This window comes from Homo sapiens, chromosome 5, assembly GCF_000001405.40.
Source record: "Homo sapiens chromosome 5, GRCh38.p14 Primary Assembly".
NCBI classification, from domain to species: Eukaryota; Metazoa; Chordata; class Mammalia; order Primates; family Hominidae; genus Homo; species Homo sapiens.
The window spans coordinates 65094034-65109599 of record NC_000005.10 but is presented as its reverse complement, the minus strand read 5'-3'; the positions used below and the strand labels follow the sequence as shown (position 1 = coordinate 65109599).

General features: G+C 41.9%; 1 long non-coding RNA gene across 2 annotated transcripts in view, besides 4 other annotated features; it reads right to left on the bottom strand.

The window, feature by feature from the left end:
• Window positions 6110-6610: an enhancer, noted in NCBI's record as "H3K27ac hESC enhancer chr5:64398817-64399317 (GRCh37/hg19 assembly coordinates)". NCBI's record gives its function as "activates a minimal SCP1, AML or CMV promoter by ChIP-STARR-seq in primed H9 embryonic stem cells {active_cell/tissue: H9 hESC(primed)}" and the evidence as "EXISTENCE:reporter gene assay evidence [ECO:0000049][PMID:30033119]".
• Window positions 6110-6628: a biological region, named in NCBI's record as "H3K27ac hESC enhancer GRCh37_chr5:64398817-64399317".
• Window positions 6339-6628: a silencer, noted in NCBI's record as "silent region_16055". NCBI's record gives its function as "represses an Ori minimal core promoter by ATAC-STARR-seq in GM12878 lymphoblastoid cells {active_cell/tissue: GM12878}" and the evidence as "EXISTENCE:reporter gene assay evidence [ECO:0000049][PMID:35858748]".
• Window positions 6611-7111: an enhancer, noted in NCBI's record as "H3K27ac hESC enhancer chr5:64398316-64398816 (GRCh37/hg19 assembly coordinates)". NCBI's record gives its function as "activates a minimal SCP1, AML or CMV promoter by ChIP-STARR-seq in primed H9 embryonic stem cells {active_cell/tissue: H9 hESC(primed)}" and the evidence as "EXISTENCE:reporter gene assay evidence [ECO:0000049][PMID:30033119]".
• Window positions 9780-15566, bottom strand: part of LOC107986419 (uncharacterized) — a 43621-nt gene continuing 37834 nt past the window's right edge. For both annotated transcript variants that reach the window (XR_001742681.2, XR_001742682.2), the window contains exon 3: window positions 9780-10348. This is a non-coding gene — a long non-coding RNA (uncharacterized LOC107986419). The remainder of the gene's footprint in view (window positions 10349-15566) is intronic.

Sequence of the window (15566 nt, the reverse complement as noted above, 5' to 3'; positions counted from 1 at the left end):
AGCACATGAAAAGATGCTCAACATCCTTAGTCATTAGGGAAATCAAACACACACACAAAATGAGTCACCACTTCACACTTACTAAGATGGCAATAATAATAAAATGGAAATTGAGTGTTGATGAAGATGTGGAAAAATTGGAATCCTCATACATTACTGGTGGGAATGTAAAATGGTACAGCCGCTACGGAAAATAGTTTGGCAGTTCCTCAAAAAGTTAAACATGGAATTATATGACCCAGCAATTCTGCTCCTAGGTATATACCTAAGAGAATTAAAAACAGGTGTTCCAACAAAAACTTGTGCATGCTTGTTTATAATAGCATTACTCGTTATAGCCACAAAGTGGAAACTACCTTAGTGTTCATCAACAGATGAATGAATACCCAAAATGTAGTATATCCATACAATGGAATATTGCTCAGCCATAAAAAAAGAATAAAGTATGGATGAACCTTGAAAATATTATGCTAAGTGAAAGAAGCCAGACACAAGGGCCACATATTGTATGATTCCATTTATATGAAATGTTCAGAATAGGCAAAGCAATAGAGACAGAAAGCAGATTAGTGGTTGCCAGGCTGGAAGGAGGGTAGAATGGGGAGTGACTGATTAATAGGTACAGAATTTCTTTTGTGGGTGATGAAAATTCCAGAATTAGATCATGATGATAGTTACAAAATCCTGTGAATGTACTAAAAGCCACTGAATTGCACTCTTTTAAATGGTTAAAATGGTGATTTTTGGGGGAGGAAAAAAACTAAAATCTAGATTCAGAAAGAAAATTAAAAGATAAGAATGATATTTTTATCCTCAATGCCTGTTGTTATACATTATAAAATTGACCTTGCAAAGTTAAAGGAAGATTTTGCTGCAAATCAAATTAGGGTGACTTACACAGGTATAGAAACTGTGTATTCCAAACTTCTTGAAACAATCTGATTTTACTTAATTGTATTATTTTCAATAAAGGTGATTCATTATATGGTAAACAAAAAAAGCCTAGACAAATAGCATACTTAAAATTACAACAGTCAGTGATTCCACCTGACTTTCTATTCATTAAGAGTGTGTCCCAGAATGAAGGTAAATTGGTAAAAAGACATAGATGATTAGGCTGGGTACGGTGGCTCACGCCTGTAATCCCAGCACTTTGGGAGGCCGAGGCGGGTGGATCACCTGAGGTCAGGAGTTGGAGACCAGCCTGACCAACATGGAGAAACCCTGTCTCTACTAAAAATACAAAATTAGCTGGGCGTGGCAGTGCATGCCTGTAATCCCAGCTACTCAGGAGGCTGAGGCAGGAGAATTGCTTGAACCAGGGAGGCGGAGGTTGAGGTGAGCCGAGATCGCACCATTGGGCCATGAGACCTAGGTTTGATACCTGACACTGGAAAGGGATTAACCATGAAGACTTCAGGAAGTCACTTAACCTCTCTTCAGCTCAATTTCTTTACTGAGATGCCAATCTACATAGACTAATAATTAGCCTCAGAGGGACTAGCGTATAGTATACATGTAATACATTATTATCATAATTTCTATAGATTGGCCAGTATGGGAAAATAAGAGAAAACTACCTCAAACCTGCCGGAGGAAGTTATGGCAAATTTCCTAGATCTCAATTGTCTTAAGCCAGCCAGGCTGACAAGGGAAACACATTCTATGCAAAAGGAATTACATATGCAAAGAGACAAAAGTATGGAAGATAATGACATGATATTGTATCAGGAACACAACATTGAGGTAACTTGGTCAGGGCATGTCCAGAAGGGGCAGAAGGTGAGCTGGAAAATGTCAGTTGGGGCCAGATCATTACAGAGTACTCCATCTTGAGTATATCACTTAAGAACTTTAAGAAAAGGAATGCAGTCAGCTTTGCATTTCTAGAAAGATAACTGGCTGAATGGGCAGAATGGATTAAAGTGAGAGGCAGTTCATCAAGGTAACAAGTTTGGAGGCTAGCACTTCTATACCAACAGGATTGGCATAGATGGAGACTAGAAGTGTAACTGACAAATGTTATTGATCGAACGGATATTGGAGGAGAGAAAGGAGGCATCAAAAAGTAACTCTAGGGTTGGGCGTGGTGGCTCACACCTCTAAACCTAGCACTTTGGGAGGCTGAGGCAGGAGGATCATTTGAGGTCAGAAGTTTGAGACCAGCCTATCCAACATGGGGAAGCCCCATCTCTAATAAAAATACAAAAATTAGCTGGGTGTGGTGGCACACGCCTCTAATCCCAGCTACTCAGGAGGCTGAGGCAGGAGAATTGCTTGAACCCAGGAGGTGGAGGTTGCAGTGAGCTGAGATGGCACCACTGCACTTCAGCCTGGGCAACAGAACAAGACTGTCTAAAAAAAAAAAAAAAGTGACTCTAGGCTTCTAGATTGTGCTCCTTGGAGGATAAGGACCACAGGAAGAGGAGCAGTTTGGGATACAGTCAGAAATATAATCAGCTCTCTGTATCCATAGGTTCCACATCCCTGGATTCACCAACCACAGGTTGAAAATATTAGAAAAAAATTGCATCTGTACTGAACATGTATAGACTTTTTTCCTTGTCATTATTCTCTAAACAATACAGTATAACAACTACTTAAATAGCATTTAGATTATATTAGGTATTATAAGTAATCTAGAGATGATTCAAAGCATATGGGAGGATGTACGTGGGTTATATTCAAATGGTACACCATTTTATATTAGAAACTTGAGCATTTAAAGATTTTGGTATCCACAGGAGGTGGTGGAACCAATCCCCCACAAATACAGAAGGACACCTGTATATATGTGGAACCCAACGGGGAAATACACATTTGAGAATAGGTGGTAGCTGGTATCATTAATTCATTATGTCCAGCAAAGTATTAAGTTCTATGATGCTATGACATGGACTTGCTCTTAGGGATTTATAGACTAGTGGGGATAGGTAAGGTATTTCACAAGTAGATACGTTAAGATGTGTGAAAAGCAGTGTTGTAATCAATGAAATACAGAATAGCTAACCCAGATTAGGAGTCAGAGGAAGCCTCTCTGACAATGTAACATTCCCACTTTGACTTTAAGGGCAAGTTGCAATTAGCTGGAGAAGAGAAACTAGGCAGAATGAACACTATGTACAAAGGCCTAAAGGAGAGAGAGCACTGCCCCTGAGGACCTGAAGGACATTCAGGAATACTAGAGCAGGGAATGCAAGAGATGGGGAAAAGAAGCAAGCAGGAGTGAGGATGTGAGGGGCCTCATAAGCCTTGGAAATAAATCTGGGTGTTTGGGTCGGGAGTATCTTGATAAGACTGAGTTCTAGAAAGGTCATGGTGCTGCACCAGAGAATGGCATAAAAGGGTGTGAGGTTGTTTGCAGAAATCAGTTAGAAGGCTTTCAGTGGCCTGGATGAGACAGATTTGATTTATTAATCAGAATTGTTTCAAGGAGACAGAAACCACCTCAAAAAGTTCAATTAAAAATGAGAAACTTCTTGGTTTCAGTAACTGAATCACAGAAAGACAAGGGAGCTGCTGGCCAGCAAGGGATGGATGGGGGAATGGAGTGCTGCCAGGACCCCTTTTCTACTTTTGCCCTCATCTCTGTGCATCTTGGAAAGTTTGCTGTTCATCTTTCAGGCCTGGTAGGGTACATGGCCTGTTGGTGGCTCTGAGATCACATCTCTACAGCTTCTAACTAAAGGAGACATTTTGTCTCTGATTCAGAATAGATTCAGAATACAAGTTCCCAGGAAATGCTGGGATTGGCTGGGCTCGGATCATGTGCTAATGTCTGGACTCAATTCTGTGGCCAAAGTACCTCTCCCCTTGGAGAGATAAGAGCATTGTCTAAGGGACATGGTCACCCCAATGGTCAAGGAAGTAAGGTCTGTTACCAGGAAGGCTGTAGGAAGATGCCGGCAGTCCCGGGCAGACACAAAAGCACTCTGGATATTCAGGTGATAGAATTGACACAAAAGCACTTCAGATATTCTGGTGGTAGAATTAACTGAATTTGGTGATTGACTGATTGTGGGGGAAAGGCAGCAATGAGCCAAGGATGACACTTAGATTTCTAGCTTGGGCAAATAGGAGGATGTGGGAGCCATTCTCTGAGACAGGAAACACAAGAATAGAAAGAGATGGTTTGAAAGAGAAAGTGAGTTCAGATTTGTACCATAGGAGTGCTGAAGAGCACATGGGACGGCCAATTTGAGATGCCCAATAAGGGCCTGATGCACAGAAGAAACAGCCAAGCTGGACAGAGATTTGGGAATCATCAGCACTGGCAGGGTCACTGCAGCCCCCGATTGGATGTGATCTTCCAGGAAGAATGGAGAGTGAGAAAAGAGGAGGAACTCTGGGGGCACCAACATCCAAAGGAAGATCAGAGAAAACTAAGAAGTAGCAAGAGAGAGGAAGAAACCAGGAAAGAATCCTATTATTGTGTGAATTATGGTTCATAATGGTTATGAAAGCTAGCACGGAGAATTAAAAAGTGATGGGAAGTGGAAGGGAGAGGACATGCCCTCTAGTTTCTAAGAAGCTCACAATCTGTAAGACCAGATAAGATCAGAATACATCAGCTAACAATGCAAGTAATGTATGACAGGTACCAACATGAGTTCTAGGAGGAGGAAGACAGCAGGAGCATTATGGATTGGGGTAGCCAGGGGAAGTAGGATATAAGTAGACCCTAAAAAGTGGGTAAGACTTGAATAGCTGGACACTGGGATTGGAGAGAGGAAATTCGGGTTAGAGGAATTTCAGGTTGGAGGAATTTCACGCGCAAAGGAGGAACTACACCAGGAGCACTCAGGAGATGTGCTTATGTTGGGGACTGATGACAGATTATTTTAGGAGGGTAAGCTTGGCCAGATGGAGAGGGCTTTGAATGCCAGGCAAAAACACCTGGTAATAAACTTTAGTTAGTAGGCAGCCTTCAAAGGTTTCAGATACTCCCTAAAAGAAACTGACTTGTGTTATTTTCTTACCCCTTCAAAGCATCCCTGTGAGACCAGTCCCTGTTATCTAAACGTATTTTTCTCCTATCATGTCGTGTCTTCCTTTGTTGACTTTATTTCTAAAAATATTAGGTGTGACTCTGACACTTTTGGTATCTGGGACTGCTCAGCAGCTTTCTCTAGCAGGTAGTTAAGTTTTCTTTTCTTCTACCCTATTACTTCCAGTTCCATCCCTCAGGGACCATGAGAAACAATTCCACTTCTCCTTATGTTTATATTCGGAGGATGCTTATAGAGTTTCCACATTCCCTGTGCTTTGAGCTCAGCCAAGGTATACATACTTAATTCTTTTAATCTCTCCCCCTAAGTCACTCCCTGTGGCCCCTTAAGCATCCTAATTGCTCTTCTCTGAAAGGCAGCCAGCTCATTATGTGCATCTTCCTTGGGAGGCAATGAGGAACATAGTATTCCCCGTGTGGTCTCACTAGACTCATATATTACCTCCCAGTTGCATCCCACGACTGGACATGTGGAGCCGCACTCCTTCTGCTCCCCGCTCCCTACAGTGCGCCCTGGCCTCAGTAAATCCCTTATCTCAACAGGTTATCTCCCATTTCCAGGTGGCCTGTTCCAAAGCTTGGAACCTGTGTTCACCACATGTTCAACCCCCAGCTCCCGCCTCAGGAGGTCTCTTACTGGGGAAGGTGGCCCGGAACCAGGACGAGTATCTGTGGAAAATTGCAGCTAAGCTTGCGTAAGTAAACCTTGGAAGAGGAGAGGCTGCGGAGTGCCCAGAATTAAGAGATGCCGCATCCTGCCATGAGCTCCCCGGCCTGCCCGGCTGTGACAGTATTCAACAAGGTGCAACTTGGAGGCTTCGCCTCTGTTTCCAATTATCCCTTTTATCTCTGCTCTAGCCCCTCTCCTTACCTAAGTGTTTTCATAGCTCTCAGTCATTACTGTTTAGCTTTGTGAGGATAAACGTGAAACCAAACAAATTATACATATCCTGTCTCAAGATGTGTTATCACCCTCTGACTAGAAACCCCCAGAAGCCTGCGGCTTTTGAAAGTTCTAGGTTTTTTTTTAAGCTTTGAAAAAAAAATGGTGGCAGAGGTTAAACTGCCTTTGAGAACGCCAAATGTTTGGATTTCAGTGAAGGTTGACATGGAAACCCACCTGAGGCTTCCTCGAGTGTCTCGGGAGGTAATAAAACCCGAGCTGGATGCTCCTGCTGCTGGGGGAGGAACAGCTCCCAGGGCGGCCAGGTGGGGGCGGCGGGGCCTGAGGAAGCTGCCCGGGGCCGCACAAAAGGGAAATCGAGGAGAGGAAGCCAAAAGCCAGAAAGGGCACGACGGGGGCGTGGGTGCGGGTGTCCGGGGAGACCTCGGCCGTCCCAGAACTTTCCAGGGCCCGGGGACCTGCGCCGCCCCGACTGGAAAGTTGGTGTTTTTACTCGAAGCCCTTTCTCTGGGCAGTTTAATAACAAACAGCGGCCGCAGCAATGGCGTCCGCGCCGGCAGCGTCGGGGCGCCCGGAGGCGGGGCGCGGCGGGGCGGGACTCTCCTCCCGCTCGGGCCCGGGGCGACCGGCGCACCCCACAGCCGCTCCCGGCGGCCGCCGAGGCGAGGGGCGGCAGAGAAAGGTCGGGAGCACTGAAGCACCGGGGTTGCCGGAGGCGAGGGCACCCAAGTTTATGCAGCTTGGGGTGGACGCTCGACTGCTGAGCTGCAAATACACAGAAAGCTTTGCCCACCGCTCGCCCCGTAGGTTCATCGCTTTATTCCCATCTACACCCAGGCACAGGAGAACTAAAGTGAAGAGAATTATCTTATGTTGGTTTCTTGGGGAGGAGGCGTGTGGAGGGGAGAGAGCCCTCCGGGAGAGACGAGGGAGAAAGGCAGAGGGAACCCATAGGGAGAGGAAGCAGGACGCCAGTGCTGCTTCCTAACACCTCTCTTTGTCTCCATTCAACACGGATTCCTCCCCATGGTGGGCCAGCCTTAGAGGACACATTCGTCTTTGCCCCCAAGGCCACCACAGACTCTGTGTTTCTACCCTGAGTACTAGAGGATGCCCTAGAAAAGAAATCTTGAGGACCTCTCTCTTTGAGACTTTGAGGGCCTCCACCTTCCAGCCACTGTTTCGTCCAAATCTGGGTTATCCATTCAGTAAAGGGTTGCCAGCTGAAATACAGCACACTGAGTTCCATATGAATATCAGATAGACAACGACAAATTTTGAGCATGAGTATGACCCACACAAAAATTCGTGTGCGTTTGTTTTATTAACTCTAGCAATCCTAATTCAGTACGTATTTCTGATTCTTCTTCAATTCCCGTCCAGACAGCAACCCTCTGAGACAGGAAGGGAGCGTGCTCTCACCAGGCACCATTTCCTGCCTCTCCCTCGGTCCCCTCTAAAATTGGTAAACCTCAGGTGTTTTCTAGGGAAGTCCCACCGTAAGTGGAGAAAGAATAAAGATGGGAGTAGAGATCAGGGGTGAAGTAGTTTAAGGTCACCTAACCAAAAATTGGAAATTTCAAACGCAAGAGCTGAGTTCTCCTTTATTGGAGGAATTAACAAGATGTGCTGTGAACATAAGAGTTAAATAGTAGTCGCCTTTTGTAAGCAACTCTAACAGAGGTTTACATTTGGGATTAATAGTAAACTCCCCAGGCCTTACTGACAGAAGAATGTAGTTGCCCAAATAAACAATGTTTTGATCGGGACTCGAGACCAACCCTCCGAGCACTCAGCCTCTTCCTAGCAGGAGCATTTCCCAACTCTGAAGTAATTTGTAATGTGCTGGGAAAACATTTTCAAAAAATGGATATCTAAGATACCATAAAAGGGAAAACAGTTCTCGCTTTTGAAGTAAGAAATACCATTTGCAGTAAAATTTCTTCCGTTTGCATTTCTGAATTATGTCTTGATAAAGCTAGGCTTACAGTGCCCGAGTGCTGCCTCCGACCTAGTAAGGAAGAGTCTAATGGAACAGTGTGGGTCTGGGGTTTACTGTCCTCTAAATATTATACTGTCTTCTTGGTACATAAAAATAAGAATACCTCCCAATGATGGGATTACTGTAACTGGCCTTTACTTCCCACTGTAGGCTTCCTGGAACTGGCCTTTCAGACTGGAAGACCCCTCAGCACAATTTTGTCACACCGTCTCTCAGCGGCCACTGTTCCTTCAAGGGTAGAAAAAGTTAACATTTCCCAATAGCACTTTGACTAGAAACATGAATGTGCTGAGAAGCACAGAAAACATATTGTTTTACTGGGAGGTCTCAAATGACTCCGGGAGGACTCCCTTGAAAAGGCCCTGGCTCCAGGTCAAACTCCAAAAGTGCTGCTCACTCTGCCCCCTGGTGCAAGTCGGTGTGCGGCTCACCCAGAAAGGAATTCTTCCCCTTTCCAGGTGGTGTTGTGGACAGCTTTGGAGGACCCTGCTTCCCAGGGGACCAGTGACTGTTTCTCTATGTGTCATGAGCTGAAGGCCTGAGGATCTGAAGATTTGGATTCTCCTCAAGTTCACTCCTTCAACAAGTATTTGTTGATTACCTCCTGTGTCCATATCACTCTTCACCAGGTTATCAAGGGAGGCAGGCTTGTGGGTGAAGGGTGAATTCCGAGTCATCGTGGGGAGTGATGAGGATGGGGAAGGGCAAGGAGAGAGGATGGGCACACAGGAGCTGAGCAGCAGTAAAGCTGCCGTATGCCCATGTCTAGCGCTGTGGCTGGCACAAAGCAGATGCTCAGGAAATGAAGCATTCTACTGCAAATGGTGTTTCTTACTTCAAAAGGAGATGGAGGTGGGTGTGCTCAGGAAATACTTGTTAAATCTCTTTAAGGATGAAATATTCTGGGTGACTTTATGTTATTCCTAAGCCAACTTTTTTGTTCCAACTTATTAAGTATCTTTTATCGATACTGTTAGGTAAACAGGTGCATAGGAGAGCCAGGGTGACACCATTTTAAAATCAACTGTATCTTAAATCTAACAAGGCACGGTCATGACCATGTCCTAAGATGTTTACAGCTAAGGAAGCAGCTTCATAATACCGGCAAGAACAAACTCCTATGACGACAAAATGCCCAGATGCACCAATATCACAGGATAATATATACTTTTAAGATGATTATAGCCATGCTTTCATGTGCCCACACACTAAAATGCCAAGGATAACTTCCATTATATCAACAAAGTAATACATTTTGTCACATTGTCAGCCCACCCACACATACATATAACTTAGCTTAAACTTTACATAGATAAGACCCCTATAGAAGAATTTACAACAAAGATGATATATTCCTCCTCTTGCTTTCTGAGGACGCCCTACTTTGTATCTGAGTAGCTTTCAATAAACTATCTCTTCTCACTGTACACTGTAACTTGCCTTGAATTCTTTCCTGTGTGAGATTCAAGAACCCTCTCTTGGGGCCTGGATCAGGATACCTTTTTCTGGCAACAATACTACTTTAGTAATGTTTTGTACTAAACAAAGCTGTTTTTTTGTTTGTTTTGTTTTGTTTTTTTTTTTTTTTGAGACGGAGTCTTGCTCTGTCACCCAGGCTGGAGTGCAGTGGTGCAATCTTGGCTCACTGCAAGCTCCGCCTCCCAGGTTCACGCCATTCTCCTGCCTCAGCCTCCCAAGTAGCTGGGACGACAGGCGCTTGCGACCACACCGGGCTAATTTTTGGTATTTTTAGTAGAGACGGTGTTTCACCATGTTAGCCAGGATGGTCTCAATCTCCTGACCTCGTGATCCGCCCACCTTGGCCTCCCAAAGTGCTGGGATTACAGGCTTGCGCCACTGCGCCCGGCCACAAAGCTGTTTTTTGGTTTATTTTATTTTTCTTCTTGGATGGTTATAAACGTCGCAGCATGTCAGACTCAACATTCCGATCTTGGATTGCAACTGGCCGGTAGTGAGTACTGCAGCCACAGGTTGTAGGAGATGGGAGTGAGTGTGCATTGACCCAAAGGCAGGCCTGGCATTTCTCATGAAATCTCTTACAAAAGTTTCCTTGTGGAGTTCCCTTATTCCTTATGGGTTAAGGATTTCTTAATCCATAAGGAATAAGGGAAATCCTTAAGGATTTTGTCAGACGTGGCTTATCTAAGTTTCCTTACGGAGATGCTCTATCTCACTGAAATCTAGCAAGTGATGTTTGGGCTTAGGATGGGAAGGCAAGGAAAGCAGTTAGCTAGAAAATTGGTATTCGTCGGGAGCCTACTAAGGAATGCAGTGTGGGTATCCAGCTCATGACAACATGCAGGTTGTTTAAGTTTGCTTGAATAAAGTAGACAGGCCTCTCCTCCGTCTTTGGCTGGCAAATAAGAACATATCTGGGAGACATCCATCAAATCCACATGGTTGGCTGCTCACTCTGTAAGAGAATTTATGGAAAAGTTTGTCCAGGAGTTGGCATAAGAAACAATGCTACTGATTATTCAAACAATTAGATATTTATTGATTCCAGACAGAACATTCCATAGCACTCGATGTGGTGGGAGATGGAGGAGGAGGAGAAGGCACTGTCTCTTCCTGTTGGAAACTTGTTGAGTAGTTGAGGATTTGAAGCTAATACACGCAAAACAACCAAGTACCAAGTACAAGAAGGGCCTGGGTCTGAGGGGTTGGAGTGCAAGGAGGGACCTGAGGTAGTAGTGATAATATGGCAGGCCAGGCACTGTGTGTGCCAAATGGACTGAGTAGGTCATTTCTGTTCATCTTCACACCAGCTCTATGATATTTGTACCATTGTTTCCCCCATTTACACATGAGGAACCTGAGCCTTAAAAAAGTAAAGGAGCTTGCCCGAGGTCACCCTGCAAGAAAATGGCACAACTGAGCCAAAAACATTTGTATAGGAGAAAGTAAGAGAAAAAGTGGGTGGAAAATTGTCATTTAGTGGAACAAACACTGTTTCCTTGCCTTCCTCTATCTTTAAAGTGCAGATAATAATCTCTACCTTTCAGGATTGTTAGGCAGGATAAATGAGAGTGTCTGTGAACATTTCCATTGCGACACTGCCTGGTGCTCAGTGGGAAGTTAGACGGCACCACATTAGGGAAGGGAGGTGAGGACAGATATCCCATAGAGGGAACTGGGACATGACTAATGTGGAGCAGTGGGAAGTAAGTTTGGAAGGGAAAAGGGACCCAGTTTATAGAGGACCTGAAACCTAAGAGAGAAGGTGAGCATTGATGTAGCATTAAATACTTTAACGAAATTATTAATACTTTTCTGATTTTTGTAGTAAAAATACAGTCATAAGAACTTCGGGGGAAAAAAAGCCCAGAAAAGTATGAAGGTGAAAATTAAAAATCTTACCCGCAGAGATAACCACTTGTAACCTTTTTTGTGTTACTTAACCTTGATCCTAACTATGACATGTGCTAGAAAATATGAAATTATGATCTTACTTTTATGAAATAAAGTGTTTTTATATGCATTTTTTATATATGCTTACAGTATTCTGTATGATTATATTGTATAATAAGCTCTGCTTTTTTCACTCTTTGTTGTGAACATTTTCCTCATAACTAGGAAATATTAGAAAAAACTTTTTAAGGCTATGGACTATTAACAAAGTAGAAGTACCATAATTTAACAATTTCTCTATTATTGGCTTTTGAGGTTGTTTCCAATCTTTCACTATTAGAAATAGCACTGTGATGAATGTCTTTATATATATATAAAACTTTAACCACATTAAAAAATTATTTCTTTGGGCTGAATTCCTAGAAATAGAGACACTAGGTCAAAGAATATAAGAATTTTTAAGGCTCTTGATTCAGATTGCCAAATGCCATTCCAGAAAGGTTGAAGCAATTTATACTCCCACCAGCAGTGTATGAGAGTGCCCATTTTATGGAATGCTTGCCAACAATGAGTATTTTTTTTAAACTTTGTCTATTTGATAGAGAAAACATAGTATCTTGTTTTAATTTGTATTTCTTGGATTATAAGTGAGGTGGAACTTTTTTTCATAGTTTATTGGCTGTTTGTATTTCTTCTTTTGTGAATTTTCTCATTGTTTCCTTGATCATTATTCTAGAACAGTACTGCATAGAGACCTAATGCAAACCGTGTATGTAATTTCAAATTTTCTTGTGGCCACATTAAACAAGTAAAAAAAACAGGTAAAATAAAATTTAATAATAAAATTATTTTAGTAATAAAAATCTTAATAATACAATATATTTAACTAAATACACCCCAAATATTATCATTTCAACATTGGCACTAGCTACATCTCAAGTGCTCTTGTGAGTAGTGGCTACCATATTGGACAGTGCAGATTCAGAACGTTTCCATCATAGTGGAAAGTTCAACTGGACAGCACTAGCATGGAGCTAGAGCTTTTGATATTTTTTTATAAGGAAACTTTATATATTTAGTTTTTTGTCTATCCTATTTGTTGTAGTTTTTCTAGTATGCCATTAACCTTTTAATTTTGTTTGTTCTTTTTATTTACTTATATTCAAACAATGTAGGTTAATCTGTCACTTTCCCTTTGTTGTCTCTTCCATTGTTTTAGGTCTACCTATTCCCAGATAGTTAATTCTTCACCTATATTTTCTCCCCTCACCTCCCTTGTTTGTACAGACAGGGCCTCACTATGTTGCTCAGACTGGAGTGCAGTGGCTATTCAGAGGCATGATCGTAGCACACTACAGCCTCAAACTCCTTGGCCACTAGCGATTCTCTTGCTTCAGCCTCCCAAGAAGCTGGGACAGCAGGCACATACTACTGAACCTGGCTCTCCTAGGTTTTTTTAATGATTTCATTTGTAATGCAATTATTTAATCCTGAAATTTATCACATTATTTTAAAAGTGTACCTGATTTATCAAAAAACTTACCATTGTTGTATGTCTGTTAATTTCTCCTCAGAGTTTTTAAGAGTTTCTATCTTAAGTATTTCAATGCTGTGTTACTTAGCGCATAACAGTTGAGGATTGTTGATACTTGTAAAAGAGTATGATTCTTCTGGTTCATTGTAGTGGTTTTTGTTTTGACTCTACTGTGTTTGAAATTAATATTGTCACCTCTGGTTTTGATGGCTGCATTTACCTAAGATCATTGTCCCAGCTTTAATTTTTTAACCATTTCAATTTTATTTTGCATATAGTTTCGTATTCATTTTTGTAACTGTGATTTAATCTTAACTCTGCTAAACTGATTTTTGTTCTCATCACTGATCCTTTCATATGTCACTTTCTCCTGTTTTTGAGTTCTTAAATTTTTTTTTTTTTTGAGACGGAGTTTCGCTCTTGTTGCCCAGGCTGGAGTGCAATGGCACAATCTCGGTTCACCGCAACCTCCACCTCCCAGGTTCAAGCAGTTCTCCTGCCTCAGCCTCCCGAGTAGCTGGGATTACAGGCATGCACCACCACGCCCGGCTAATTTTGTATTTTTAGTAGAGACGGGGTTTCTCCATGTTGAGACTGGTCTCAAACTCCTGACCTCGGGTGATCTGCCTGCCTCGGCCTCCCAAAGTGCTGGGATTACAGGTGTGAGCCACCGCGCTTGGCTTGAGTTCTTAATTTTTTATATCACTCAGATAACTGATATATGCCCTCAAGTAATTGTTTTCAAAAAAGTATCTTATAGTCAGTACTCAATAAATGTTTTCTGAATAAATGCATGAATGAAGAATTTAAGCCTTTGCACATCATAGAATGTCCTTCTGTTTTGTGATAAAAGCATGACTTTTTTTTTCTGTGATAAATCTACTTTTTACTCCTGAATAATGGTCTTGTGTCTCTCTCTTTTTCCAACAAACTTAATTATTTAGTCTTTTTTTTTTTTTTTACTTTTAAACATTTTGCCATGATATGTCTATATTTTGGTTTCTTTATATTGGTTTTACCTGGAAAAAAATGAGACATTTTTAATCTTCAAATTTAAGTCACTCTTAAATTCAGGAAAGTTTTTTTCTGTTATATATTTGTCTGTTTTGTACAGTTGTTCTGGATCCATTTTCAGAAACATGACTATTTTTGAGATTGGATCCCAGGTTCTTCCTTTATATCAATCATTAATTTTTATCAGTTTGCCCATTTAATGTATATTTAGAAGGAGTTTTGGCAAATGGCATAAGGTAAGGAATTAAAATTTTTTTCTAGTTAGTTTGCCTTCTCAAAATTGAAAAAAATTACAACCTTATCTTCTATACTCTCATTCTGTTTTCTTATTTTTATTTTTTAAATTAATTTTTAATTTTTGTGGAAACATACTAGGTGTATGTATTTATGGGTTACATGAGACATTCTGATACAGGCATGTAATGTGTAATAATCACATTAGGGTAAATGGGGTATCTATCACCTCCAACGTTTCTCCTTTGTGTTACACACAATCCAATTATAATCTTTTAGTTATTTTTAAGTGTACAATTAAATTATTTTTGACTGTAGTCACCCTATTGTGCTACAAAATACTTATTTATTTTTTCTAACTGCTTTTCATACCCATTAACCATCCTCAGTTCCCTCCAATCCCCGACTACCCTTCCCAGCCTATGGTAAACATCCTTCTAGTCTCTTATCTCCATGAGTTCAATTATTTTAATTTTTAGCTCCCACAAATAACTGAGAACATGTGAAGACTTCCTTTCTGTGCCTGGCTTATTTCACTTAACATAATGACCTCCAATTCCATCCATGCTGTTGCAAATGGTGGGATCTCATTCTTTTTTATAGCTGAATAGTACTCCATTGTGTATATGTACCTCATTTTATCTATCCATCTGTTGATAGACACTTAGGTTGCTTCCAAACTGGCTATTGTGCAGTAAACATGGGAGTGCAGATATATCTTCAGTAATGTGATTTCTTTTCTTTTGGGTATAAACCTAGCAGAAAGATTGCTGGATCGTATAATAGCTCTATTTTTAGTTTTTAGTTCTCCATAGAGGTTGTACTAATTTACATTCCCACCAACAGTGTATAAAGATTTCCTTTTCTCTGAAAGGTCACATATTTCTGTTTCTCCAAGATTGGTCCCTGGGTCCTTATTTAGTTCATTTGGTGAGGTCATGTTTTCCTGGATGGTATTGATGCTTGTTGATGTTCACTGGTGCCTGAGCATTGAAGAGTTAGGTATTTATTATAGTCTTCGCAGTCTGGGCTTGTTTGTACCTGTCCTCCTTGGAAACGCTTTCCAGGTATTTGAAAGGAATTGGGCATTGTGATCTAAGCCATAACTGCATTAGGAGGCACCTCATGAGCAGTAATGCTGTGGTTCTTGCAGACTCAGAGGTACCGTCTTGGTGGTCTTGGATAAGATCTGGAAGAGTTCTCTGGATTACCACGCGGAGAGTCTTGTTCTTTTCCCTTACTTCCTTCCAAGCAAATGGAGTCTTTTTATTTGTGCTGAGCTGCTTGGGACTGTGGGTGGGGTGACACAAGCACCCTGTGGCCTCCACTGGGACTGTGTTGGATCAGACCTGAAGCCAGCACAACATTGAGTCTTGCCCAAGGCCTGCTGTAACCACTACCTGGCTATTGCCTATGTTTGCTCAAGGCCCTGGGGCTCTACAATCAGCAGGTGTTGAAACCAGCCAGACTCGTGTCCTTCCCTTCAAGGTGTCGAGTT